This window comes from Homo sapiens, chromosome 17 (assembly GCF_000001405.40).
Source record: "Homo sapiens chromosome 17, GRCh38.p14 Primary Assembly".
In the NCBI taxonomy this organism is placed as follows: Eukaryota; Metazoa; Chordata; class Mammalia; order Primates; family Hominidae; genus Homo; species Homo sapiens.
Window position 1 is genome coordinate 237,070 of NC_000017.11, and position 27,970 is coordinate 265,039.

The 27,970-nt window shown below is 52.0% G+C and overlaps 1 protein-coding gene across 4 annotated transcripts in view, besides 1 other annotated feature; it reads right to left on the reverse strand.

The window, feature by feature from the left end:
* The window catches only part of RPH3AL (rabphilin 3A like (without C2 domains)), a 140,419-nt gene that overhangs the window by 24,681 nt on the left and 87,768 nt on the right, over nucleotides 1–27,970 (reverse strand). For all 4 annotated transcript variants that reach the window (NM_001190413.2, NM_001190411.2, NM_001190412.2 and 1 more), the window contains one exon: nucleotides 10,042–10,216. In NM_001190413.2, coding sequence (NP_001177342.1) covers nucleotides 10,042–10,216 — 175 coding nt within the window. The remainder of the gene's footprint in view (nucleotides 1–10,041; nucleotides 10,217–27,970) is intronic.
* Nucleotides 7,424–7,622: a silencer, noted in NCBI's record as "fragment chr17:94284-94482 (GRCh37/hg19 assembly coordinates)". NCBI's record gives its function as "represses an EF-1alpha promoter that drives an FKBP-Casp9 reporter gene in an ReSE screen in K562 erythroleukemia cells {active_cell/tissue: K562}" and the evidence as "EXISTENCE:reporter gene assay evidence [ECO:0000049][PMID:32094911]".

The following is a 27,970-nucleotide window of genomic DNA, read 5'->3' on the forward strand; positions in this document are numbered from 1 at the left end:
TCAGCTCTTCCCGGAAGACAGGTAGAGGGCGTGGGGTGGGGGCGGCAGGATCACTGGGGAAGGGCGGCCCCGGCAAACATTTGCGGCCTGAGCTGAACCAGGCTGTTCAACCCACACAGAACCCTCAGGCTTGCTTTCACGCCACCACAAAAAGGACCACAGTTTGGAATTTGTAAAATCTGTCTAACATCAAGTGAGCCACTGAAGTGATCGTGAAACTCCCATTTTTCTTAAAACTCCCCACCTGGAACAAATCCAAAACCTGTAAGGGAACCAGTGTGTCACCCTGTTCTGGAACAGACCTTGAAGGGAACCGGTGTGTCACCCCGTTCAAAGCCACCCAGGAGGCCTGCACTCCCCTCTGGGGAAGGATGGACGGTGGAAGGCGGCAGGATTCCTGCAGAGAGGCCTGAGGAGGGACAATGACCCAGGCCTCAGAGGAGAAGGGAAAAGGAATTTGCCTCCCAGCCGGAGCTGCCTGTGTCCCAGCCTGGGAGCTTTTTGGTTCCTCTCTAAGGGCATGGACGTGAGGAGGAAATGGGTATTTACACCCTGTGAGCAGGGCTTTTGATGGTGCTGGGCAAAGTGGAGAGGCCTCCCCAAATCTGGCCAGGCCACAGCCCAGTGACAAGGCTTTCAATGATACCCCAGGATCCCAGGCCGAGGTCCACATGGTAAAACTTCATGAATCCAGAGGTCCTGGCCCCCACCTGAGAGCCCTCTGAACACTGGCTTCAGGCCCCTGGTGTCAGGCGCTCAGTCACAATTGAGAAAGGCAGGCAGAAATGACACAGCAGGCCGGGTGCGGTGGCTCATGCCTGTAGTACCAGAATTTTGGGAGGCTGAGCCAGACAGATGACTTGAGCCCAAGAGTTCAAGACCAGGCCTGGACAACGTGGAATCACCCCGTCTCTACAGATACAAAAAAATTAGCAGGTGCGGTGGTACATGGCCAGCTACTTGGGAGGCAGAGGTGGGAGGATTGCTTGAGTCCGGGAAGTCGTGTGCAGTTAGCTGAGACTGAGCCACTGTACTCCACTCCAGCCTAGGTGACAGAGTGAAACCCTGAGAAAGAAAGAAAAGAAAGAAAGAAGAGAGAAAGAGAGAGAGAGAGAAAGAAAGGAAGGAAGAGAAAGGAAGAGGAAGGAAGGAAGGAGAAAAGAAAAGAGGGAGGGACAGAAAGAGAGAGAGAAAGAGAAAAAGAGAGAGAGAGAAAGAAAAGCAACAAAATGAAACGAAACTCCAGAAAGAGAGAGAGAAAGAGAAAAAGAGAGAGAGAGAAAAGAAAAGAAACGAAACTCCAGGGCAGACCTAGGCAGCGGTGCCTGCGGGTCACAGCTCTGGAGGTTGAAGAGAAGAAGCCGCATCCTGTTAACTGTCCTCGGCGTTGGAGGCAGAGAACAACGTCCACCTGAGAATCGCTTCCGCGCGTAGTGACTCCAGCCGCGCCTTTATCGTTCTTCCTTTCTTTACAGTGACAGCTGGAACTGCAGCACCCATCTTGTGACCATGAGGGAAAGAGAAGAATTGCAAAGACATCTGTCCTGACATCACTGAAGCTGCTGAACCGAAGCCGTGGCTCCTTCCTCTGAGCTTCGTATTTTATGAGAAAAAGATGTACTCTTTCGCTACTCAAGTATGCCATGTTGATGTGGCTACTTTCACCTCCCACCCCCAGCAGCTCTCTCTCTGTGCACAGGGTGGAAATCCAGCTTGAAGGCAAGAAGCCTGTGGAGGGGATGAACCCAGCTCTAAAGGTGTTACACCCCGGGGCCCACAGCACCGGTGCCGCCATTTACACCTCATATACCACAGGGGACCTCAGGGACCAGGCCCTATGCAAAAGCTGACTTTACTGCTGTCATATATGAGCAATGGTATGCCAGGAAGAGCAGGGGAGAGCACACACTGTCTGCAGGGATCAGGTGGAGGGGGAGAGACATCGCTCAGAGGCAGACCCTGTGACCAGGTACCAAGAGGTACTCAGGCCAGGCCGTTCCCCACCCCCTCCTGGGGAAAGAAGGAATACCCTGCTGGGACCCACCAAGGGGTCTGCAGGCAACTCCTTGGCCAAAATCAATACCCAGCGTCCAGGGGAGGGAGAGAGCAGCAAACTCAGGTAGTCAGCGCACCTGTCCTGCAGGTGCAGTGCAGTCACTGGGTCTCCCTGAGATAACACAGAGGACAGGAACACGTCTACTCTTTCCCTAATACTTTCATTGTGTTATTTTTAACATTTCGATCTTACCTATCTGCAGTGTGTTTCTGGATACACCTAGAAGGAGAAAGAAATCTAATTGCACCAGCTCCAGTTATGAGATAGGTCTGTTAGCTTCTCATTAAGTTGAAAAGTGACTTATGGTTGGCGTCCATACATTCTCAGGCTACCCTTTCTCTACTCTTGTCTATTCCACTCGTCTGTTTATTCCTACAAATAAATATTCTGTTTATCCTGATGCCAATACTATATCGTTCTTACTGATTTCAGTAACTTTATAGTAAGCTTTAAAATTTGGCTGGATAGTTCTTTCCACTACCCTCCCGATTCTGTTTTGTTTTGTTTTGTTTTTTTGAGAGATAGGGGTCTCACTCTTTCACCCAGGCTGGAGTGCAGTGGTGCAGTCTCAGCTTACTGCCGCTTCAAGCTCCTGGGCTCAAGTGATCCTCCCACCTTAGCCTCCTGAGTAGCTGGGACTACAGCTATGTGCCACCACACCTGGCTAAGTCTTACAAATTTATTTGTAGAGACAGTGTCTCGTTACGTTGCCCAGGCTAGTCTTGAACTCTTGACTCAAGCAATCCTCCTGACTTGGCCTCCCAAAATGCTGGGATTACAGGCATGAGCCAGTGTACCCAGCCTACCCTTGCTATTAGAAAGAGTTTTTTGGCCAGGTGCAGTGGCTCACGCCTCTAATCCTAGCACTTTGGGAGGCCAAGGTGGATGGATCACCTGATGTCAGGAGTTCAAGACCATCCTGACCAACATGGAGAAACCCCATCTCTACTAAAAATACAAAATTAGCGGGGCGTGGTGGTGCAAGCCTGTAATCCCAGCTACTCAGGAGGCTGAGGCAGGAGAATCACTTGAACCCAGGAGGTGGAGGTTGCAGTGAGCTGAGATCATGCCATTGCACTCCAGCCTGGGCAACAAGAGTGAAACTCCATCTCAAAAAAAAAAAAAAAGGTTTTTTTGTTGTAAGCTATTCTCCACCTTATGAATTTTAAAAACTGAAATATAATTTATATACCATAAAAGGTACCCTCAGAAAGTATACAAGTCAGTGGTTTTTAGTATAGCCATACGTTTACGTAACCACCACGATCTAGTTTCAGACCATTTGCATCAGCTCTGTGTACCCATTAGCAGTCAGTCCCCATTCCCCTCCCCATCCTCCCCAAGCCCTGGCAACCGCCCATCTACTGTCTGCCTCTGTGCACTGGCTTGTTCCCACCGGCTCATATAGATGAGATCACACAACACGCGGCCTTTCGTCTCCGGCTTCTTCCACTTCGCATGGTGTTTTCAAGGCTCATCCAGGCTGCAGCGTGGATCAGCACTTTCTTCCTATGACTGAATAACGTTCCACTGTGTGATTACACCATATTTTATCCATTCATCAGCTGATGGACGTATGAGTTGTTGCCACTTTTTGGTTATAATACTTCTGTGAACAATTGTGTCCTTATGAATATTTAAAAATCGTCTTCGGCCGGGCACGGTGGCTCATGCCTGTAATCCCAGCAATTTGGGAGGCCAAGGCGGGAGGATCACGAGGTCAGGAGATCGAGACCAGCCTGGCCAACACGGTGAACCCTGTCTCTACTAAACATACAAAAAATGAGCTCGGCGTGTAGCGGGCGCCTGTAGTCCCAGCTACTCAGGAGGCTGAGGCAGGAGAATTGCTTGAACCCAGGAGGCAGAGGTTGCAGTGAGCCGAGATTGTGCCACTGCACTCCAGCCTGGCGACAGAGTGAGACTCCATCTCAATAATAATAATAATAATAATAATAATAATAATAATAATAATAATCTTGTTGGCCAAGGATGGTGGCTCATGCCTGTAATTCCAGCACTTTGGAAGGCCAAGGTGGGTGGACAGCTTGAGCTCAGGACTTTGAGACCAGCCTGGACAACACAGTGAGGCTCCCATCTCTACAAAATATACGAATTTAAAAGTTTGGTAGGTGCAGTGGTGTGCACCTGTAGTCCCAGCTACTGGGGAGGCTGAGGTAGGAGGATCACGTGAGCCCAGGAGGTCAAGGCTGCAGCGAGCCATGATTGTGCCACGGCACTCCATCCTGGGTGACAGAGCAATACCCTGTCTCTAAAATTAAAAAAGTAAAAAAACCTAGAAATTGATTTGAATGTCCATCGATAGGTGATTAATTATAATACACTATATTGTGAGATTTTACTCAGCCATGAAAATGAATAATGTAAAATCTGTATCCGTTGGCCTGGAGGGATGCTCCTGATACTCTTTTAAGTGAAAAAAGCACCATGCAGAGTGTTGGGTAAGAGCCTATTTTTATTGCTAAAACAAAAGCCAAAAAAACCCCACCCCTTTATCAAGTATATGTTTGTAGGAACACAGAGAAAGGGTTTGGAGATGAGGGTAAGTAGAAGAGATGTTTCTTTTTCTTTTTTTTTCTTTTTTTTTTTTTTTGAGACGGAGTCTTGCTCTTTCTCTTTTTCACACACCTTTGAATTAACTCGCTAAAATATATCTTGTATTCTTATGTAATTAAAAATTAACAAAGAAAGGACTGGCATGGTGGCTCATGCTGGTAATCCCCGCACTTTGGGAGGCCGAGGCAGGTGAATTGTTTGAGGCCAAGGGGTTTGAGGCTAGCCTGGCCAATATGGCGAAACCCCGTCTCTACTAAAAATACAAAAATTAGCCAGGTTTGGTGGTATATGCCTGTAATCCCAGCTATTCAGGAGGCTAAGACTTGAGAATTGCTTGAATCCAAAAGGCGGAGGTTGCAGTGAGCAGAGATCACACCACCACACTCCAGCCTGGGTGGCAGAGCAAGACTGTCTCAATAAAAAAAAGAAAAAAATTAACAAAAAAACTTTAAAGGAGGAAGAAAAAGGAACCCACCTCAGAAACATCAACCCTTTCACCTGATTGCTCTGTGGGTTGAAAAGTTCATGACTTGTAGTATCTATTCATGATTACCTTCCTCTATTGATTACCTTCCTCTATTGACTACCTTCCTCTATTGATTACCTTCCTCTATTGACTACCTTCCTCTATTGACTACCTTCCTCTATTGACTACCTTCCTCTATTGACTACCTTCCTCTATTGACTACCTTCCTCTATTGACTACCTTCCTCTATTGACTACCTTCCTCTATTGACTACCTTCCTCTATTGACTACCTTCCTCTATTGACTACCTTCCTCTATTGACTACCTTCCTCTATTGACTACCTTCCTCTATTGACTACCTTCCTCTATTGACTACCTTCCTCTATTGATTACCTTCCTCTATTGACTACCTTCCTCTATTGACTACCTTCCTCTATTGATTACCCTTCCTCTATTGATTACCTTCCTCTATTGATTACCCTTCCTCTATTGACTACCTTCCTCTATTGACTACCTTCCTCTATTGATTACCTTCCTCTATTGATTACCTTCCTCTATTGACTACCTTCCTCTATTGATTACCTTCCTCTATTGATTACCTTCCTCTATTGACTACCTTCCTCTAATGACTACCTTCCTCTATTGATTACCTTCCTCTATTGATTACCCTTCCTCTATTGATTACCTTCCTCTATTGATTACCCTTCCTCTATTGACTACCTTCCTCTATTGACTACCTTCCTCTATTGATTACCCTTCCTCTATTGACTACCTTCCTCTATTGACTACCTTCCTCTATTGACTACCTTCCTCTATTGAATACCTTCCTCTATTGAATACCTTCCTCTATTGAATACCTTCCTCTATTGAATACCATCCTCTATTGATTACCCTTCCTCTATTGATTACCTTCCTCTATTGATTACCTTTCCTCTACTGATTACCTTCCTCTACTGATTGCCCCTCCTCTACTGATTGCCCCTCCTCTATTGATTACCTTCCTCTATTGATTACCCTTCCTCTATTGATTACCTTCCTCTATTGACTACCTTCCTCTATTGACTACCTTCCTCTATTGATTACCTTTCTCTATTGATTACCCTTCCTCTATTGATTACCTTCCTCTATTGATTACCTTTCCTCTACTGATTACCTTCCTCTACTGATTGCCCCTCCTCTACTGATTACCCTTCCTCTATTGATTACCCTTCCTCTATTGATTACCTTCCTCTATTGACTACCTTCCTCTATTGATTACCCTTCCTCTATTGATTACCTTCCTCTATTGATTACCTTCCTCTATTGACTACCTTCCTCTATTGACTACCTTCCTCTATTGATTACCTTCCTCTATTGATTACCTTTCCTCTATTGATTACCTTCCTCTACTGATTGCCCCTCCTCTACTGATTACCCTTCCTCTATTGATTACCCTTCCTCTATTGATTACCTTCCTCTATTGATTACCCTTCCTCTATTGATTACCCTTCCTCTATTGACTACCTTCCTCTATTGACTACCTTCCTCTATTGACTACCTTCCTCTATTGATTACCCTTCCTCTATTGATTACCTTCCTCTATTGATTACCCTTCCTCTATTGACTACCTTCCTCTATTGATTACCCTTCCTCTACTGATTGCCCCTCTACTGATTACCCTTCCTCTATTGATTACCTTCCTCTGATTACCTTCCTCTACTGATTACACTTCCTCTACTGATTACACTTCCTCTATTACCTTCCTCTATTGATTACCTTCCTCTACTGATTACCCTTCCTCTACTGATTACCCTTCCTCTACTGATTACCTTCCTCTATTGATTACCCTTCCTCTATTGATTACCCTTCCTCTATTGATTACCTTCCTCTATTACTTTCCTCTATTGATTACCCTTCCTCTATTGATCACCTTCCTCTATTGATCACCTTTCTCTATTGATTACCCCTCTATTGATTACCCTTCCTCTATTGATTATCTTCCTCTATTGATTACCCTTCCTCTATTGATTCCCTTCCTCTATTGATTACCCTTCCTCTATTGATCACCTTCCTCTATTGATTACCCTTCCTCTATTGATTACCTTCCTCTATTGATTACCTTCCTCTATTGATTACCCTTCCTCTATTGATTACCCTTCCTCTTCCAACAGGGCATGAGAAAGAAAATAGGGTGGCCTGGGATGCAGGGAGAAGAAGTTGGGAGCTACAGGTGCATGAGCCTAAGAGATGTGGGATGTAGGGAGAGGGAGAGAGGGAGAGAAGGGAAGAGAATGGGGGGGGAGAGGGAGAGAAAGAACTGGAGGTGGGCAAAGAGGCTTAGAGAGAGGCTGAGAGAGCGAGCAAGCTGGTGCTGTGATCAGCTCCAAGCCAGTGAAAGGGACTGTGGGGCAGGAAGAAGATGCTGGCCCCGGGGCCCTCGGAGGCAGGGTCCCAGGAGGAGCAGCGTCTGGTGAGAGCAGGGTGGTTTTCACAGCCTCCGAGTATCTCCTGGGACTTTCCAGCAGACCCCAATCCAGAGGATCCACACTCTACTGCAAGAGCATGGGGCCACTGCCCTCCTCGCCCATGAAATTAAAAGGCCATCTTTTAATTAATTAAAAGGCCAAGTCTGCGTGCCTGAGGAAGTGAGGGGGGCTCTGCTCCTCCCCAGGGTGTGCGCATGTGCATGGGAGTATGTGTGCGTGTGGGCAACCGTGTGTGTGCATATGAGTGCGAGTGTGTGTGCGTGTGAATCAGCATGTAAGCTACTGTGTGCATGAGTGTAACGCTAGTGTGTGTACATGCATGTGTGTGTGAGCTTGTGTGTCTGCATGTGAGCAAGTGTGTATGCATGTGGATATGAGTGTGTGTATGTGGATGTGTGTGTGGATGTGAGCACTATGTGTGCATGTGGATGTGTGTGCATAAATGTGCATGCGCAAGTGTGTGTAGACGTGTGTGTACATGTGGATGTGTGTGTGGATGTGTGTGTCCATGTGGATGTGTGTGTGCACATGGATGTGTCTGTGTGTACGTGGATGTCTGTGTGTGTGGATGTGAGCGTGTGTGTCCATGTGGATGTGTGTGTGCGTGTGGATGAGAGCATGTGTGTGTGCACGTGGATGTCAGTGTGTGTGTACGTGGGTGTGTGTGTGGATGTGTGTGTGGATGTGGATGTCAGTGTGTGTGTGTGGATGTGAGTGTGTATGTGGATGTCAGTGTGTGTGTGTGGATGTCAGTGTGTGTGTGGATATCAGTGTGTGTGTGTGCATGGTGATGTGTGTGTAGGTGTGAGCGTGTGTCAATGCGGTTGTGTTTGTGTGCGTGGATGTGAGTGTGTGTGTATGCCCTGACTTGGAGCAGACGGGGCAGTGGCAGCTCTTGAAGTGGGGCATAGGCCACAGCTGCCCCCATAGGCCTTCAGCCTCTCCGGCTCAACTGGCTCCAAGCAGCATTTTAAACCCACAGGTGTCCACCAGCTTCTGCTCCCACTGTCTGAGGGACATGGACAGATCTCGAGGGCTCAGCAGGAGAAGGTCTGAGGTCCAAGGGTGGCAGAGGGACCAGGTGGAGGACCGCCACTTCTCCAGCCAATCTCGGGCCACTCAGTTCCAGGCTGGGCAGCCACAGTGCCCCTCAGGCCAGTGTCCCAGCCAGGCCTGCACCCCCTCCTCCTGAGGGACTCCCCGCCTGCACGGTCTCCACTGCATTGCATCCCACGGTCCCCACCAATGTCTGTCCGTGGCAGCGATGTCGGGGGTGAACTCATAGGCAGCAGAGGTGTACGCAGCATCCGGTAGGACCAGCGAGGAGAGGCTGCTATGAGGGAGTCGGGGTGCTGAGGACAAAGTGCCTGCAGGCTGCACACCAAGGCACAGATGCCGACCTACCTGGCAGGTCCACGTATGGGGGATTTATACCTTCTACATACGTCACTGGACAACTTTCACATGTTCGTAATAAACATGCATTACTTTTGTAACAAGAAAAAACAGCCCGAATGACATAAAGATGGTCAGATGTCAGGTCACAACCGAAGACCAGGATGTCGCAAAGCCCCTGAGAAGCGGCCGCCAGGTCTATTGTGATGGGTCCACTTCCTCCAAGACGAGCCATGATCCGAACGAGCCTCCCTCACCCCTCTGCCTGCCGTCTCATCTAAGACCCTCAGACCCTGAGTATTTGGCAGAAACGTGAGCACTTCAGAGCAAAAGGACCCAGATGCCAGAGAGGGTAAGAGCCTGCCCTTGGATCCCAGCTCGGCCACACACCTGCCGAGGAAGTCCCTCCTCTTCTCTGAGCCGCAGGTACACCCATCTATAAAATGCAGTCATTAAATAACTTCCGAGCCTGTTGTGAGACCAGGAACTTTGAAATAAAACCACAAACATCAAAGCATCATGAAAGCTGCGGAGAACGGTCCACAACCAGGCGCCCCCATCGTTGCCAAGTGGGGCGGCCACCTGAGACACACACACCTTACTGTAGCCACCAGAACGCCCAGGGACACTGGGATACAAAGTCACCATACTTATTAGGACCAGGGAAGCCAGGAGTCCTCCCTTACCGAGACACAAGGCAAGTGCCAGGAAGAGATGGTGAGGGCCTGCCTGGGAAAGATGTAGGTTTTATACTTTGCAAAATACCTTAATTGACGTCCCATTTCTGTGAAGATGCGTAGTGCTGCTCATGGCATCCTTGCCCCCAGAGCAGTACTTGTATGTGATACTGCCCCCCGTGGGCCCTCCCGCCGCACTCCTGCACAGAGCGAACAGTCACCTGCTGGAGGTCCCCGCTGCTCACTCGGGAGAAGGTGTGGAGCTGAGGGCACAGGGAGGGACGCATCACCAGAATGAGCCTCGTGGATGGAGGGTGCGGGGGACTGGCCTTGTGCCTGCAAACTGCCGGGCTGGCTAATGACCCAAACTTTACAGGCCATCCTGGGAGAGAGGCAGAGGGGACTTACCTCTTCCTCGGGCCCACGTGTAGATGCGGCTGGTCTCAGAGCTTCTGGGCTCTCGCTCTGCCGGTTCCGTGGGCAAAGGTCGGAAGTGGGGGTCATCAGCTCGGCCAGGGGTCTTCAGGGGCAAGATATACTTGGGGAGCCCTTTGTAGAACCAGGCCCCCGACCTCTTCCAGACCTGAGTGGGGGAAGAGAGCTGCTTGGGGCACAGGACGCAGAGGAGCCTCCCCTCCTGCTCCTTGCCCAGATGACGGGAGGCAGGACGCGGAGAGCTAGGAGCAGAGTGGGAGTGGGAACTCTGGCTCTGCCCTCCCTGGCTGATGGGCTGGGCTGTCAGTTACCTTCCCAGGACTCAGGACATGAACTCTCCAAACCTTCTTTCTCTCCCTTATTTTAGAGTTGAGGACTTGCTCTGCTGCCCAGGCTGGAGTGCAGTGGTGCAGTCATCACCCGCTGCAGCCTCCACCTCCTGGGCTCACGCGGTCCTCCTGCCTCAGTCTCCTCAGCAGCTGGGACTACTGTACCTGGGTCTACACCTGCTTTAAAGACAAGCCCATGTCCTCCTGCTTCTCTCTTGCAGAGCAGGGATCTCAATATGGGCCTGGCATGTGAGACATGTTTATGAAAACCGTCCTCTGTTACCGTCTGTATCCACCACTCGGATCCTAGAGATTGCCTAGTCAGACCTCTGCCCATCCCCAGTCCTTTCCGGCCCCTGCTGGAAAACTCCTAGTGACAGGAAGCCCACAAGCCACCAGGCACTGCTGAGTTTCCACTAGATCTGCCAGTGACTGGCACTTCCTTCCCGCCAGCTGACCTCCCGGGCACCTTCTCTCGCTGGCCCAAGGCAGAGGGCTGCACGGGACAGACTCTCCCAGCCACAAGTACCTGCAGGCACCTCACCCAGCCCCCAAGCTCTCCTCCCTGCCAGCTGACCTCCCGGGCACCTTCTCTTGCTGGCCCAAGGCAGAGAGCTGCATGGGATGGACTCTCCCAGCCACGTGTACCTGCAGACACCTCCTCCTGCCCCCAGCTCTCCTTGGTGCCATGCCCAGATCCCCAGCTTCTCAAGGACAACACCCTGATTCCTCAGCTGTCCCAAGTCCCCTCTCATCGAGCCACCCCCTCTTGCCATGTTTGTCACTGCCCCTCGGGAGAGGGGCTCAGAAGTGGCCACAAAGCTCCAGACTTGTTCTGGCTGCCCCCATGGCACAGCCACTGGCTTTCCACCCTCTTTCCTGCCTCAGTTCTATCCTCCTTGCATCCTGAGCCTCCCAGGAGCCCCTCTTGACCCTATGTAGTCCCCCAGGGACTCTGAGAGCCAGGTGGGTCAGAGGGGGCCTGCCAGGGCCCAAGCAGGTGTAAAGCATCCCTTTATCACTGCCCTGGGGAAGTGGTGAGAGTCACCCTAAAGCTGGCCAGACAGACACCCCCAAAGGCTGGCAGAGCCCCAGGAATCCAGGGATGCCCACCCTGAACTCACAGGGTGGGAGGTGCTCTGGGTCTGGGACGCACAGCCCCTTGGGCTCTGAGGGGTCCCTCTGTTCCTCTAATATCCCCAGCTTGGACACCCAGGCTCCCCACTCCTGCTGTCCCTGGAAGCAAGGCTGAATCAATGGCAGCTTCCACATGCTCGCTGTGTGGCTTTGAGTGAGTTACTTAACCTCTCTGAGCCTGAGTTTCTTTATTGATTAAATTGATGAAACATGATAGCTGCTGAGAAAGTTGGAAGTACTCAACAGAGCAAAGGGCACCCAGAAGGTGTTCACAAGATGCCACCTGCCTGCCTCCTTCCTGTCCCTTCCGCTCGAGGCTCCAGGGCGAAGCAACCGAGGCTGAGGGAGAGCCAGGCTGGACCACATCACAGCCTTGGAAGCTCTTCTCTGAGGACTTCTCAGATGGGACAGCCTCTCCAACAGGAACAGAAAGGACCGCCTCTTGGAGAGAGCCACCGATTAGAATTCAGAGCAGCTGCTGAGTTAAGGTCCCTAAATTTGTAATGCCTCCTTCAGAAAACACCACATACTGTATAGCCTCTTTTCTGATGAAGGAAATAAATTCAGGGTATTTAGTCAGGAGGGGTGGGAGCCTGTAAACGAACACTTTGCAAAAACCTCAACTGACATGACCCTTCTCAGAGAAGGGCAGGCCAAGGTTCCGAGCCGACGTCCTGAATCTGAATCCTGGGTCTGGCACCCAGCATCTGGTGTGATTTGGACACGCTGACCTCCCTGGCCCTCAGTTTCTTCATCAGTAGGCAAACACAGGAGCAGGGCTTATCTCACCGGGAGGACTTGAGGATCAGGCCCAAGAATGAACGTGAAGCCTCAAGGGCCAGTGCCAGGCACGGAGCAGCCTCTCCACAGAGGAGAGGCCCATGGGCACCACCGCCACCCCCCTCCTGCCACCTGGCAAACACAAACAGCTTTATCACCAGTGGGCCAATTCCCTACTGGAAGAATTCAAAACCAGAAGACCAGAATCCACCTGATTCTGAGACATTGCTTCCCACCCCGCAAACTTCCTCTGCATCACATTAGTACTGTGGGATACTAACAAGAGTCAAGCCAAAAAAAAAAAAAAAAGGTTTCTAATCACATACTCTTGAAAAGCACTAGGTTAAACCAAGCTCCATCGCTGCGGGACGTCTCAGAGCCTTTACTAAGCTCCATCACTGCGGGACATCTCAGAGCCTTTATTTACTAAGCTCCATCACTGCGGGACCTCTCGGGGCCTTTACCAAGCTCCGTCGCTGCAGGACCTCTCAGACCCTTTACTAAGCTCCGTCACTGTGGGACCTCTCAGAGCCTTTACTAAGCTCCGTCGCTGCGGGACCTCTCAGAGCCTTTACTAAGCTCCGTCGCTGCAGGACCTCTCGGAGCCTTTACTAAGCTCCATCGCTGCGGGACCTCTCGGAGCCTTTACTAAGGTCCATCACTGCGGGACCTCTGGGAGCCTTTACTAAGGTCCATCACTGCGGGACCTCTCAGAGCCTTTACTAAGCTCCATCGCTGCGGGACCTCTCGGAGCCTTTACTAAGCTCCATCGCTGCGGGACCTCTCAGAGCCTTTACTAAGCTCCATCGCTGCGGGACCTCTCAGAGCCTAAGCTCTGTCGCTGCGGGACCTCTCAGAGCCTTTACCAAGCTCCGTCGCTGCGGGACCTCTCAGAGCCTTTACCAAGCTCCGTTGCTGCGGGACCTCTCAGAGCCTTTACCAAGCTCCGTCGCTGCGGGACCTCTCAGAGCCTTTACCAAGCTCCGTCGCTGCGGGACCTCTCAGAGCCTAAGCTCCGTCGCTGCGGGACCTCTCAGAGCCTTTACTAAGCTCCGTCACTGCGGGACCTCTTAGAGCCTAAGTGCCATCGCTGTGGGACCTCTCGGGGCCTTTACCAAGCTCCGTCGCTGCAGGACCTCTCAGAGCCTTTACTAAGCTCCATCGCTGTGGGACTTCTCAGAGTCTTTACTAAGCTCTATCACTGCGGGACCTCTCAGGGCCTTTACTAAGCTCCCTCGCTGCGGGACCTCTCAGAGCCTTTACTAAGCTCCATCGCTGCGGGACCTCTCAGAGCCTTTACCAAGCTCCGCCACTGCGGGACCTCTCAGAGCCTTTACTAAGCTTCATCCCTGTGGGACCTCTCAGAGCCTTTACCAAGCTCTGCCACTGCGGGACCTCTCAGAGCCTTTACTAAACTCCATCACTGCGGGACCTCTCGGAGCCTTTACCAAGCTCCATCACTGCAGGACCTCTCAGAGCCTAAGCTCCGTCGCTGTGGGACCTCTCAGAGCCTAAGCGCCATCGCTGCAGGACCTCTCAGAGCCTTTACTAAGCTCAGGTGCACAGGGTTATCCCAGAGGGCAAAAGAACACACCGTGCTCTCTACCCGCAATCTGCCTGGATGGTTTTCCTAGAGAAACTAGACCTTAGTAATGGGTCTGCATGGACTCGGCACTTAACTGGGCAGGGCACCTCCTTATGCTCACAGTGCCAGGCACGGACTGCCACGTCCAGACTAGGTCCCTGGCATGAATCCCTCACTGCCCCTTCCAGCCACCCTGTGTGAAGGGCCTGCTTTTGTGTCGTTCTTGAACGGCCTGGAACCTGTCTGGTGGGATGGGTGCTTCATGGCACCCGCTTTGGAAAACCCTTTCTGATCCTCTTGGAGCCTTCCTACAACACGTATTTATTTGAATGGGTAATGCAGGCACATGGTCTAAAAATCCACAAAGTGCAAAAGTAGCCAGTCTCCTCCCCCATTCCCAGAAGCATCGAAGAAGCTTATTATCTCCACTTTTCAGGTGGGGAAACTGAGGCTCCAACAAGTTCAGCAATTTCCCCAAAGCCAGCACACCCCTCTGTTGGCCTCTACTCCACACGGAAGGCCCCAGAGTCTCACCCAACAGTTTACAGATGCAAAGCAGATGCTCACTAAACTGCAGTTGAGTGGTGAATAAATCCTCAGTGGCTCAGACGTCTGTGTGGACCCTTAGTGTCCTACAGGCAGGACACCAGAGTGGAGAGGACTGCCTGACAGGAGGAAGCAGCAAACACACAGCAGCCACCAAGGCCACCCCATCTCTGAAGAGCTGCTGCAAGGCTCATTAGAGCAGGTACCCAAGTCCAAAAGGCCACGGGGGCCATGGGGTGCCAGCCAAGGGCTCGCTACGCCTCCCTCTGATGAGCGAAAGCTCTGCTCATCCTGCCCTGAGCACGTCACCTCCCTGTCCTCCACCGTGGGCTGGGCCTGGGGGACCCCAAATGAAGCAGACCCCTAAGAACCATCTGTGAACGGCGGGGCCCGTGCAGGCTTTGAACCGCACGCCACACTGTCTCCCCCACCCGCCTTGGAAGTTTTCTCTTTTTTTTTTACTTTTTTTTTTTTTTGAGACAGGGTCTTGCTCTGTCACCCAGGACGGAGTGCAGTGGAGCAATCGGCTCACTGCAGCCTTCACCTGCCCAGGCTCAGGTGATCCTCCCACCTCACCCTCCCGAGTAGCTGGGACTATAGGTGGTGTGCGCCAATACACCCAGCTAATTTTTGTATTTTTTGTAGAGATGGGGTTTTACCATGTTACTCAGGCTGGTCTCTAACTCCTGGGCTCAAGCAATCTGCCCACCTCTGCCTCCCAAAGTGCTGGGATTACAAACACGAGCCACCACGCCTAGCCTCTCCCTTTTTTTATTTTCCTGAAAAATACATACCTAGCATACAAAATTAGCACAACAAAAAAGTAAAATGAAACTAGGCCACCTATAACATCACTGCACAGAGACGCCCTGCTGACCATGGCGGTGTGAATTTTCTTACACCATTGCCTGGGAAAACACACTATTTGTTTTTTGTTTTTTTGAAAACTAGGCTAATGTAGATGCAACCTGTTCCCACCCTGTCCCCCAACACCTCACTACGCATCAGAGCAGTCGTTCCGAACTCATAACTTCTCCATCATCGTTTTTCACTGCTCCACAGTTTGGATTTATTAAACTTAAGTAATCCAGCACCTCACCGAGGGACATTTGTTTCCAATCCTCGTCCTCACGGGCAGCGCCGCAGCCATCACCCCGCACCCACCCCATCAGCCCAGTGCTCGGTTATTGCCTTAGGAAAGACGGGTTGATTTTGCCCTTTTCCAAAATGCTTGGGACAGAAGTGCTTCAGATTTTGAATTTTTCCGAATTTTAGAATATTTGCATTATACTTAACCAGTTCAGCATCCCAAATCTGAAAATCCAAAATCTGAAATGCTCCAGTGAGTTTTGGATTTTGGAGCATTTCAGCTTTGGGTTTTCTGATGAATGATACTCAGCCTATATTCCACAGAGCGGGACTGCAGGGTCGAGAACTGTGTGTTTGGATGATGACATAGAGTCAGGCCGCCCTCCAGGAGGAAAAGCCACATTCCCAGGAGGCTACAGTAAGTGTTTTTGGGGTGGGGACCTCGGCTTACACTTCCTGGTGGAATCCAAGGCCTCCTCTGTGGACCCTGATCGGGGAAGGTTCCCAGGGAACCACGGTGGGCTTGGGGAGAGGCATCCATCAGGGCATGAGGCCACCAGAGTGAGGGGCGTGGGGCGAACAATGGAGCTACCCTGCCATCCCTAGGACAGGCCTTGGGGGCTGAGAGTGCTCCCCCACCTCACGCCCAGCCAGTCAAGGCCCTGTTTAACGGGGAGTGGCCAGGTTGATGCTCAGGGTGACTTGGCAATGTGGCCAAGCCATCTCTGTCGTGAGTCTTCAGGGGAAGAGACTAAGACACCCCACAGAGCTGCATTCCCGCACACTGTGGGGCCGAGAACCTCATCTGTGCCAGTGAGTCCTCAGCTCATGGACTTCCGAGCTGCTCCTTTGCGGCACCGGACCACGGTTTTGGCCTCCGGGTATGCGCAATCCTTTTTTAAAAAAATTAAAAATGTTTCCATTGTATTAAAGTATTCATAACATCAAACGTATCACCTGAAGTGCAACCCATCTCCAGAACTTGCCAAACTGAAACTCTATAACCACTAAGCAATAGCTCTCCTCTGCCCTGGCCCCTGGCCACCCCAGTCTGCTGTCTGTCCCTAGGAACGTTACTACCCTACGTACTTCCTATGAGGGGAGCCGCACGGCGTCTGTCCTTTTCCATCCCTAGGAACGTGACTACCCTACGTACTTCCTATGAGGGGAGCCGCACGGCGTCTGTCCTTTTCCATCCCTAGGAACGTGACTACCCTACGTACTTCCTATGAGGGGAGCCGCACGGCGTCTGTCCTGTTCCATCCCTAGGAATGTGACTACCCTACGTACTTCCTATGAGGGGAGCCGCACGGCGTCTGTCCTTTTCCATCCCTAGGAACGTGACTACCCTACGTACTTCCTATGAGGGGAGCTGCACGGCGTCTGTCCTTTTCCGTCCCTAGGAATGTGACTACCCTACGTACTTCCTATGAGGGGAGCCGCATGGCGTCTGTCCTGTTCCATCCCTAGGAACGTGACTACCCTACGTACTTCCTATGAGGGGAGCCGCACGGCGTCTGTCCTTTTCCATCCCTAGGAATGTGACTACCCTACGTACTTCCTATGAGGGGAGCTGCACGGCGTCTGTCCTTTTCCATCCCTAGGAATATGACTACCCTACGTACTTCCTATGAGGGGAGCCGCATGGCGTCTGTCCTGTTCCATCCCTAGGAACGTGACTACCCTACGTACTTCCTATGAGGGGAGCCGCACGGCGTCTGTCCTTTTCCATCCCTAGGAATGTGACTACCCTACGTACTTCCTATGAGGGGAGCTGCACGGCGTCTGTCCTGTTCCATCCCTAGGAACGTGACTACCCTACGTACTTCCTATGAGGGGAGCCGCACGGCGTCTGTCCTTTTCCGTCCCTAGGAATATGACTACCCTACGTACTTCCTATGAGGGGAGCTGCACGGCGTCTGTCCTTTTCCATCCCTAGGAATGTGACTACCCAACGTACTTCCTATGAGGGGAGCCGCACGGCGTCTGTCCTTTTCCATCCCTAGGAACGTGACTACCCTACGTACTTCCTATGAGGGGAGCCGCACGGCGTCTGTCCTTTTCCATCCCTAGGAACGTGACTACCCTACGTACTTCCTATGAGGGGAGCCGCACGGCGTCTGTCCTTTTCCATCCCTAGGAATGTGACTACCCTACGTACTTCCTATGAGGGGAGCCGCACGGCGTCTGTCCTTTTCCATCCCTAGGAATGTGACTACCCTACGTACTTCCTATGAGGGGAGCCGCACGGCGTCTGTCCTGTTCCATCCCTAGGAATGTGACTACCCTACGTACTTCCTATGAGGGGAGCCGCACGGCGTCTGTCCTTTTCCATCCCTAGGAACGTGACTACCCTACGTACTTCCTATGAGGGGAGCCGCACGGCGTCTGTCCTTTTCCATCCCTAGGAACGTGACTACCCTACGTACTTCCTATGAGGGGAGCTGCACGGCGTCTGTCCTTTTCCGTCCCTAGGAATGTGACTACCCTACGTACTTCCTATGAGGGGAGCCGCATGGCGTCTGTCCTGTTCCATCCCTAGGAACGTGACTACCCTACGTACTTCCTATGAGGGGAGCCGCACGGCGTCTGTCCTTTTCCATCCCTAGGAATGTGACTACCCTACGTACTTCCTATGAGGGGAGCTGCACGGCGTCTGTCCTTTTCCATCCCTAGGAATATGACTACCCTACGTACTTCCTATGAGGGGAGCCGCATGGCGTCTGTCCTGTTCCATCCCTAGGAACGTGACTACCCTACGTACTTCCTATGAGGGGAGCCGCACGGCGTCTGTCCTTTTCCATCCCTAGGAACGTGACTACCCTACGTACTTCCTATGAGGGGAGCTGCACGGCGTCTGTCCTGTTCCATCCCTAGGAATGTGACTACCCAACGTACTTCCTATGAGGGGAGCCGCACGGCGTCTGTCCTTTTCCATCCCTAGGAACGTGACTACCCTACGTACTTCCTATGAGGGGAGCCGCACGGCGTCTGTCCTTTTCCATCCCTAGGAACGTGACTACCCTACGTACTTCCTATGAGGGGAGCTGCACGGCGTCTGTCCTTTTCCATCCCTAGGAACGTGACTACCCTACGTACTTCCTATGAGGGGAGCTGCACGGCGTCTGTCCTGTTCCATCCCTAGGAATGTGACTACCCTACGTACTTCCTATGAGGGGAGCCGCACGGCGTCTGTCCTTTTCCATCCCTAGGAACGTGACTACCCTACGTACTTCCTATGAGGGGAGCCGCACGGCGTCTGTCCTGTTCCGTCCCTAGGAATGTGACTACCCTACGTACTTCCTATGAGGGGAGCCGCACGGCGTCTGTCCTTTTCCATCCCTAGGAATATGACTACCCTACGTACTTCCTATGAGGGGAGCTGCACGGTGTCTGTCCTTTTCCATCCCTAGGAACGTGACTACCCTACGTACTTCCTATGAGGGGAGCCGCACGGCGTCTGTCCTTTTCCATCCCTAGGAACGTGACTACCCTACGTACTTCCTATGAGGGGAGCCGCACGGCGTCTGTCCTTTTCCATCCCTAGGAATATGACTACCCTACGTACTTCCTATGAGGGGAGCTGCACGGCGTCTGTCCTTTTCCGTCCCTAGGAACGTGACTACCCTACGTACTTCCTATGAGGGGAGCCGCACGGCGTCTGTCCTTTTCCATCCCTAGGAACGTGACTACCCTACGTACTTCCTATGAGGGGAGCCGCACGGCGTCTGTCCTTTTCCATCCCTAGGAACGTGACTACCCTACGTACTTCCTATGAGGGGAGCCGCACGGCGTCTGTCCTTTTCCATCCCTAGGAATGTGACTACCCTACGTACTTCCTATGAGGGGAGCCGCACGGCGTCTGTCCTTTTCCATCCCTAGGAATGTGACTACCCTACGTACTTCCTATGAGGGGAGCCGCACGGCGTCTGTCCTGTTCCATCCCTAGGAATGTGACTACCCTACGTACTTCCTATGAGGGGAGCCGCACGGCGTCTGTCCTGTTCCATCCCTAGGAACGTGACTACCCTACGTACTTCCTATGAGGGGAGCCGCACGGCGTCTGTCCTTTTCCATCCCTAGGAACGTGACTACCCTACGTACTTCCTATGAGGGGAGCCGCACGGCGTCTGTCCTTTTCCATCCCTAGGAATGTGACTACCCTACGTACTTCCTATGAGGGGAGCCGCACGGCGTCTGTCCTTTTCCATCCCTAGGAATGTGACTACCCTACGTACTTCCTATGAGGGGAGCCGCACGGCGTCTGTCCTTTTCCATCCCTAGGAACGTGACTACCCTACGTACTTCCTATGAGGGGAGCCGCACGGCGTCTGTCCTTTTCCATCCCTAGGAACGTGACTACCCTACGTACTTCCTATGAGGGGAGCCGCACGGCGTCTGTCCTTTTCCATCCCTAGGAATGTGACTACCCTACGTACTTCCTATGAGGGGAGCCGCACGGCGTCTGTCCTTTTCCATCCCTAGGAACGTGACTACCCTACGTACTTCCTATGAGGGGAGCCGCACGGCGTCTGTCCTTTTCCGTCCCTAGGAATGTGACTACCCTACGTACTTCCTATGAGGGGAGCCGCACGGTGTCTGTCCTTTTCCATCCCTAGGAATGTGACTACCCTACGTACTTCCTATGAGGGGAGCCGCACGGCGTCTGTCCTTTTCCATCCCTAGGAACGTGACTACCCTACGTACTTCCTATGAGGGGAGCCGCACGGCGTCTGTCCTTTTCCATCCCTAGGAACGTGACTACCCTACGTACTTCCTATGAGGGGAGCTGCACGGCGTCTGTCCTTTTCCATCCCTAGGAACGTGACTACCCTACGTACTTCCTATGAGGGGAGCTGCACGGCGTCTGTCCTTTTCCATCCCTAGGAACGTGACTACCCTACGTACTTCCTATGAGGGGAGCCGCACGGCGTCTGTCCTTTTCCGTCCCTAGGAATGTGACTACCCTACGTACTTCCTATGAGGGGAGCTGCACGGCGTCTGTCCTTTTCCATCCCTAGGAATATGACTACCCTACGTACTTCCTATGAGGGGAGCCGCACGGCGTCTGTCCTTTTCCGTCCCTAGGAATGTGACTACCCTACGTACTTCCTATGAGGGGAGCCGCACGGTGTCTGTCCTTTTCCGTCCCTAGGAATGTGACTACCCTACGTACTTCCTATGAGGGGAGCCGCACGGTGTCTGTCCTGTTCTGTCCCTAGGAATGTGACTACCCTACGTACTTCCTATGAGGGGAGCCGCACGGTGTCTGTCCTGTTCTGTCCCTAGGAATGTGACTACCCTACGTACTTCCTATGAGGGGAGTCGCACGGCGTCTATCCTTTTCCATCCCTAGGAATGTGACTACCCTACGTACTTCCTATGAGGGGAGCCGCACGGCATCTGTCCTTTTTTGGCTGCTTATTTCCCTCAGCATCACTTCTTCAGGGCTCACGCACGCAGCAACCCGTGTCAGCACGTCCTTCCTTTCTGAGGCTGAGCAATGTTCCCCTGTACGGATGGATCACGTTTTGTCGTCTGTTCATAGGTACGTGGGGTGCTTCCCCCTTTTCGCTGGTCCTTCTGTTTTCATCTGTCTCCCCCACCAGGCTCCACCAAACAGGAGGAAGCATCACAGCCGTCTTGCTCACCACTGTTTCTTCAAGCTCCTAGCACACGCCTCACACATCGTAGGTGTTCAGTAAACGCTGGTTGAATGACTGTGCTGGCAGCTGCGGGTCGTTTGCTGCAACGTGTCTCAACCTACAGTCTGCCACCTTCCCGGGGAAGAAGCCTGGGTGTTTCACTCAAGTTCCTGTAATTAATCAAACGGACTTCCTATTTCAGATTAAAAGAGGGATAAAGAGGAAGGGCTTGATGGGGTGTGCTGGTGGGGAGGAAAGCGCAGTGAGCCTCCCTGACTGCCCAGGGTGCTCCCAGCCTCTCCTCCCCAGCTGCCCTGCCTCCCCTGGCATATCCCAGCCCCCGGCCCGTGCCTCAGCCTTGCCTCCTGCTGCAAAAATCCGTCTCCCACCCCCACTCCACTCAATTCCTGCTCAGTGACGTTCTTTTGGAAGACAGATGAAGAGCACAGGACCCAAAGCATCAGGTTGGATTGCCATTGGTACTCAGCCATTTTGGGATAGTCAACCCGTTTTTTTTTTTTTTTTTTTTTGAGACAGGGTCTCACTCTGTTGCCCAGGCTGGAGTGCAATGGCACGATCATGGCTCACTGCAGCCTTGACACCCTGGGCTCAAGTGATCCTCCCACCTCAACCTCCCGAGTAGCCAGGACCACAGCAACACGCCACCATGCCCGGCGAAGTCAACCACTTTTGAACTATCAAAAAAGCCCGTCAACTTCATACGATTCACCCCAATATTTATGCCCAGAAGGGGCAATAATCCCACAGGCCAGGCAGGCCACGTGCCTCCCCGGGGCTCTGTGGGCAGGACCATGAGCACCCGATGGATCATTCCCTGTGAGTTCATTGTAACGGGGCCTCGCTCCGATTCTCTCCTGCTGTCACTGTAGTCCAGGTGGAAGGTCTAAGAGCTCACCCTGACCATCCAGCATGGCTGGTGATCTGGACCAGCGTGAGGAGCAGCAGTTCCTAAGTCCCAGCATCAGGGGACCACAGCACACAGGTGTATCATCCAGTACAGGAGGTGCACCCATGCAGATGTGCATAAAACACACTGTCAGTATTTCTGAAAATGCCTTCCGCAGGGGAGAGCAGATCTGTTGAGGTGAGGTGCAAAGGACCCCACACCCACAGGCCTTCTCTCTCCTGGCTGCCCGCCCCACTCTGCAAAACACACCACGGCAGCCTTAATCACGTAACTTCTGCTCTGTGCATCTGGGCCTGTCACCCGCTGCCTGGCATCCACATCTACCCCTCCCCGCCCAGGAATAGTGGCAGGAAAAGCCCTCATGGGAATTAACCCCAGGCCACCCCGCAGATTGAAAATCAGTTACTTTCTGGAGAAGCCGAGCAACTCTGCAAAACCCTACTCGGCTCCCCACGTGTGGTTTGCTGTGATAAGGCCGGCAAAGCAGCCAGCCTTGAAAATGCCATTTAATGAGAAAAGACCCACAGCCGCCGTGGCGGTGGCCGGGGTGTCCGGCAGCAGTAAACGCTCCTGGTACCGCTGCTCGCCCTGCTCTGTGCTCCGCTTCCAGGTTTGCATTACGGTTTCAGCTCACGGCCAATCTGACTGCAGATTCTCATGGATATTCGCCAAGCTGTTCCCAGGGAATTTTAATTACCATGATAACAATTGCTAATCACTGGCATTTCCTAAATGGTTGTGGCTGGAGAAGGTGGTAATTGTCAGGCTGGTGCTGGAAAGAAGGGGAGTCTCACAGACCTGCCACTGGAGGGGGTGGGACAGGGGAGCCTGAAGACCCCTCTCTCTGTCCATTGTCCACCCCTTCCATGTGTCACTCCCTCTCCCGTGCCACCCTGAGAGTGCACCTGGCTTGAGCTCTTCACTGGCCCAGGCATCCATCCTCTCTGCCCCAACCCCACGAGTCACAGCAGGGGACGGTCTGTGGCCTGTGCACCTGCTGTTCCTTCCCCCTGGAGTGCCTTTCATCAGCATCTCTAACAGGCAGTCACGCTTCCCCGGAGGGCTTCAGTGGGTGCCCCTTCATGCAGAATCAGGGCCCCTCTGTCGTGCTCCCAGAGGCCATGTGGTCCCACTGGTACAGCACGCCACACCTGGGCTGGAGCTCAGACTCGCCCACCTTCCTGAGCAGGAGGCTGTGAGCTCTTCAAGGGCAGGGCTGTGCCTGAGCCATCTCTGGATTCCCGGGACCCAGTGAGGAGCCTGCTATGTTACTGACCGACCACATGAACAAAGAAGGGAAAGCAGAGGCACTGTCTCCAGGGGACAGAGGGGAGACCTCGCCTTCAAGGGAGACTGCGTTCTGTCTGCCTAACAAGCTCCAGACTGAATCAGTCTTGGAGAACCACGGGAAAAGACCTGTGACTGAGCGGTCTTCTCAATTACACTGCAGCTACTTTAAAGGTCTCTTCAAGGGTCAACCCTCTCTGGCAGAGGAGAGGCAGTACCTCTCCCTCCTCCATTACCTGACACACACTCACAATGCTGGTCTCCCAGGAACCCTAAGAGGCAAGTTAAACAAGTCCGCAGCAGGCCAACAACACCCCAGGACCCAGCCTCCCTCTCAGCCTCACCTCTCACCTCCCCCACCCCCATCACCAGGCACAGCTGCTCTCACCGCCTTGACCACACTAAGCTCTCCTTTTGGACACGTTGTTCCTTCTCCCTTCCCTGGACTAGCTCGTCTCCAGCCTTTGGGAAATCACTTTTATCCAGAAGCTTCCAGACATAATCTTGCATGTTTCCACAGCTATGCACACTCCCTGGGTTATGATCACCTGTTTCTGTGTCTGTTTCCTGAGGATGGAAGACCCCATGATGGCGGGAGCCAGGCAGAGTGCCCGGCAGGTGCCAGCACACAGCAGATACCCAACAAATAGTCAGCTGAACACCCATCCAAATTGCAAGGCTTAAGTAACTCAAGTTACTTAGGAGAAGCACAGGCTCCTCGAGGGTGCTGGGGGCTGAACTGTGTCCTCCAAATCCACATGTTGAAGCTCTAACCCTCATGTACTTGTGAGTGACAATGGACCTTGGGAAGGGAATTAGGTTTAGATGAGGCCATGAGGGTGATCGCTGCCCTTATGAAGAGAGAGACACCAGGAGAATGTGCTTCCTCTCTCTCTCTGCCATGTGAGGGCACAGCGGGAACACAGCCAGCTGCAAGCCAGAAAGAGAGCCTTCACCAGGGATCCGAATTCACCAGGGATCTGGATCAGCCAGCCCCTTGATCTTGGACTTCCCTGTCCCCAGAGCTCTGAGAAACAAATTCCCACTGTTTACACCACTCAGTCTATGGTATGTTGTTATGGTGGCTCAAGTTGACTACCATGGAAAAGATAGGCCAGCTATAAGGAAACCAGACCCAGAATCGCATTAGACTTATCACTGGTAACAGTGGCCGCCCAAAGACTCTGGATCTAGAATTCTATCAGCCAAACTATCAACACAATGGGAGGGCAGAACACAGATGTTTTTAAACTCATAAGGACGCTGAGTTTCCCTTACACACACTCTTTTTAAGAACTTAGGACGGGTTCCAGAAAAACACAAGTGAAAAACAAGAAAGGGAAAACACAGGATCCTGGAAACAGTCTCCAACTCAAAAGGTGAGCTGAGGGGAAGTTCCCGGAAGGCAGCGCTCAGGAACTACTCTGGGGTCTGGAGGGCGTCTCACAGGAAAACAGAAGGCTCCACACGATAGATGGTAAAATAAAAAAGCTGCATAAAAGAGGATGTAAAGTTTCATTATTCTGTTGTCAATAAGAAACACAGTCAATAAAAACTCCAGGAAAAACGAAAAGTTACACAAGAACATCATGGTCCAAATATTGGGTAAATTAAAATATGACAGGGATGAAGAAATTCAGAGTTAAAAAGGAATGTTTGCTCAGAATGGTGGGAACATTCTCCTTGGGGTGGTCTAGGGGTCAAGGTCGTTATAAAAATGTGATCCTCACATACGTTTGAGCCTAAGACGTTTCATGTTTACAGTTTTTTTTTTAGATGGTGTCTCGCTCTGTCACCCAGGCTGGAGTGCAGCGGCACAATCTCGGCTCACTGCAACCTCCGCCTCCCGGGTTCAAGCAATTCTGCCTCAGCCTCCTGAGTAGCTGGGATTACAGGCACCCGCCACCAGGCCCGGCTAATTTTTGTATTTTTAGTAGAGACGGGGTTTCACCATGTTCGCCGGGCTGGTCTTGAACTGCTGACCTCGTGATCCACCCGCCTCGGCCTCCCAAAGTGCTGGGATTACAGGCGTGAGCCACCGCACCCGGCCAACAAAATAATTTTTACAATGTAAATCCCAGCCAGGTGCAGCGGCTCACGCTCATAATCCCAACCCTTTGGGAGGCCGAGGTGGGAGGATCGCTTGAGGCCAGGAATTCAAGGCCAGCCTGGCCAAGCTGTTTACATCTCCCCTGTGACCCAGCTCTTGCAGGCGTGCAAAAGTCAAGCGACAAACCATCAAACGAATCCTAAGCCCATGCCCCGAGCCATCTCCTTTATCTAACGCCCACACACCAAGCCAATATTCCCCCTGCCCTAAATCAGTGGAGAGTCAGGGAGCACACAACTAGGGACAGCCCCTATGCCACAAAGCCTGCAGGGTTATTCAGTCCGACCCCACTTTGCTTTCCCCGCAGAAGCCCCAGTAAAGGCTGTGGATGTGTTTTCCCCTCTCCTCTGCCCACGACTGGCTCTGGTGCTTCCCCACGTGGCCCTGCCCGACATGGTGGTCCCCTCCTCTCAGGAACTGTGAGCAAGAAATTCTTCCAATGACATTAGCCTCTTTGTGTCATCACTCTGCCACGTGCATGAAGACCTGGGCACAAATCATAAAGCATGGAAGAATTCATTATAGCTAAAGAACAGAATCTACATGTAAATTCTGGCAATCTACAACTAAAGATACCATCTAGACAAGGAGGGAGGTGGGCATGGGGGAGGAAGAGGCGGCCTCCATATCCACAGCTCACACACAGGGAGTCAAGGGTACCAAAGCTGACGGAAGAAGACAGAGGAAAATATTATACAAAGTCACAAACTTAATCAAAGAGCCGAAAGTAATAACACAACGATCAACATCAGGGGACAGAGGGGAAGCAGAGGAGTCCAAGCTGGCCAGCTCCTCATCTTGCATGGCCAGGAGTCAATAGAGAGTCTCCCAAGTTGGTACATCAAGAAAGGCACGGCAGGATCCAGCACGTGGACGAACAGGCAGCAGCGGGTGACGCGGTGGCAAGGAGCCGCCGGGCGACTGCCGTTCCCCAACGTTAGCTCTTCCGAACAATTTGATTTTTTAAAACCATATGATGTGTTACTTTGATTAAAATTAAAATGTAACAGATTGGTAATTGGATGCTGATATTATTAAATCCTCGGTCTGCACGGTAGGTCGACTCGTGGGGAGCTGGCACAGTCTGTGGCTGGCACACTGAATCTGGATGTGGCTTAAGGGAGGAAAGCTGGTAGCTCAGGAAAGGAAAGGAATGCAGTAAGTAAAATTTCCTGCCATGGAAGAGACTTTGTGAAGTTACGGTTAGTTTGAGAACGTCGGTATGAGTTGGTAACACACCGACACTCCCGTCCCTGAAGAAGGCCAAGTTCCTTCCCACACATCACTGCACCCACCTAACCGCCCGGAGTCGGAATTGTGGCCGTGGGCACCTCGACGGGTTTTCAAGGGGGAACCAAAGTTTCACTGCAGACGGGCAGGCAGAGCTGGGTCCAGCAGGAAACAAGGGCCTGAGGGTATCGTGCTGTTAGCGGACGCGATGCTGCTTTCCAAGATGGCTGGGCGGGGATCTCTGATCAGATTTCAAAGCCACGATTTTGGCCGCGTGCGACAAGCCGGACTCTCCAAGAGCCTTGGACCCACACCGATACTGAACAAGCTCAGCAAACGTGAGGTGTACTGAGGTAACATACACACTTGTTTCTAGCATTGTTTTCTGCCGGAAATGCCATCTGTCACTCAAACCCGAATAGAACCACCCTACCTCAAAGTTCTGGCTGACAGCAGGATTACCCTTCGGAGCCGCGAGCGCTGGATGGGGACTCAGAATCCGCAGCACGTTGACAGCAGGATTACCCTTCGGAGCCGTGCGCGCTGGATGGGGACTCAGAATCCGCAGCACGTTGACAGCAGGATTACCCTTCGGAGCCGTGCGCGCTGGATGGGGACTCAGAATCTGCAGCATGTTGACAGCAGGATTACCCTTCGGAGCCGCGAGCGCTGGATGGGGACTCAGAATCCGCAGCATGTTGACAGCAGGATTACCCTTCGGAGCCGTGCGCGCTGGATGGGGACTCAGAATCCGCACCGTGTGTGTGACCACTGCATGGTGGTTTTCCGCTGATCGGTGTGAGGAGGGCATGAAGCATGTCACAAGGCCTATTGGACACATTTGTGACCACACAGGACCAACGCAGGAAGAGGTCAGCATTTGCTCTTCTAAGCGTGGAGGATGACCCTTCCACCTGTGACCGGTATCAGCAAAAATGGAACACAGAATGCAGCCATTCTTCCCCAAACACCTGTTTACAGGTATATCACAGCTCAGGTGACCAATGGTTGAAGTGAAATAAACATCTCAAGAATGGGGAACTCGTGGTACCTGAAAATTCACAGTGGTCAATGCAAGACAAAACTCAGTCTAAATTACTAATGTACACATAACTGCAAAACATGAAAATGTATAAGAAATTATGCTTTGAAAGTAGATATAAAAGAATCAGTTAACAAAACAAATCTGACCCAAAATTCCAGATTGTCTCAATAAAACCCAAAAAGTAGCTGGAA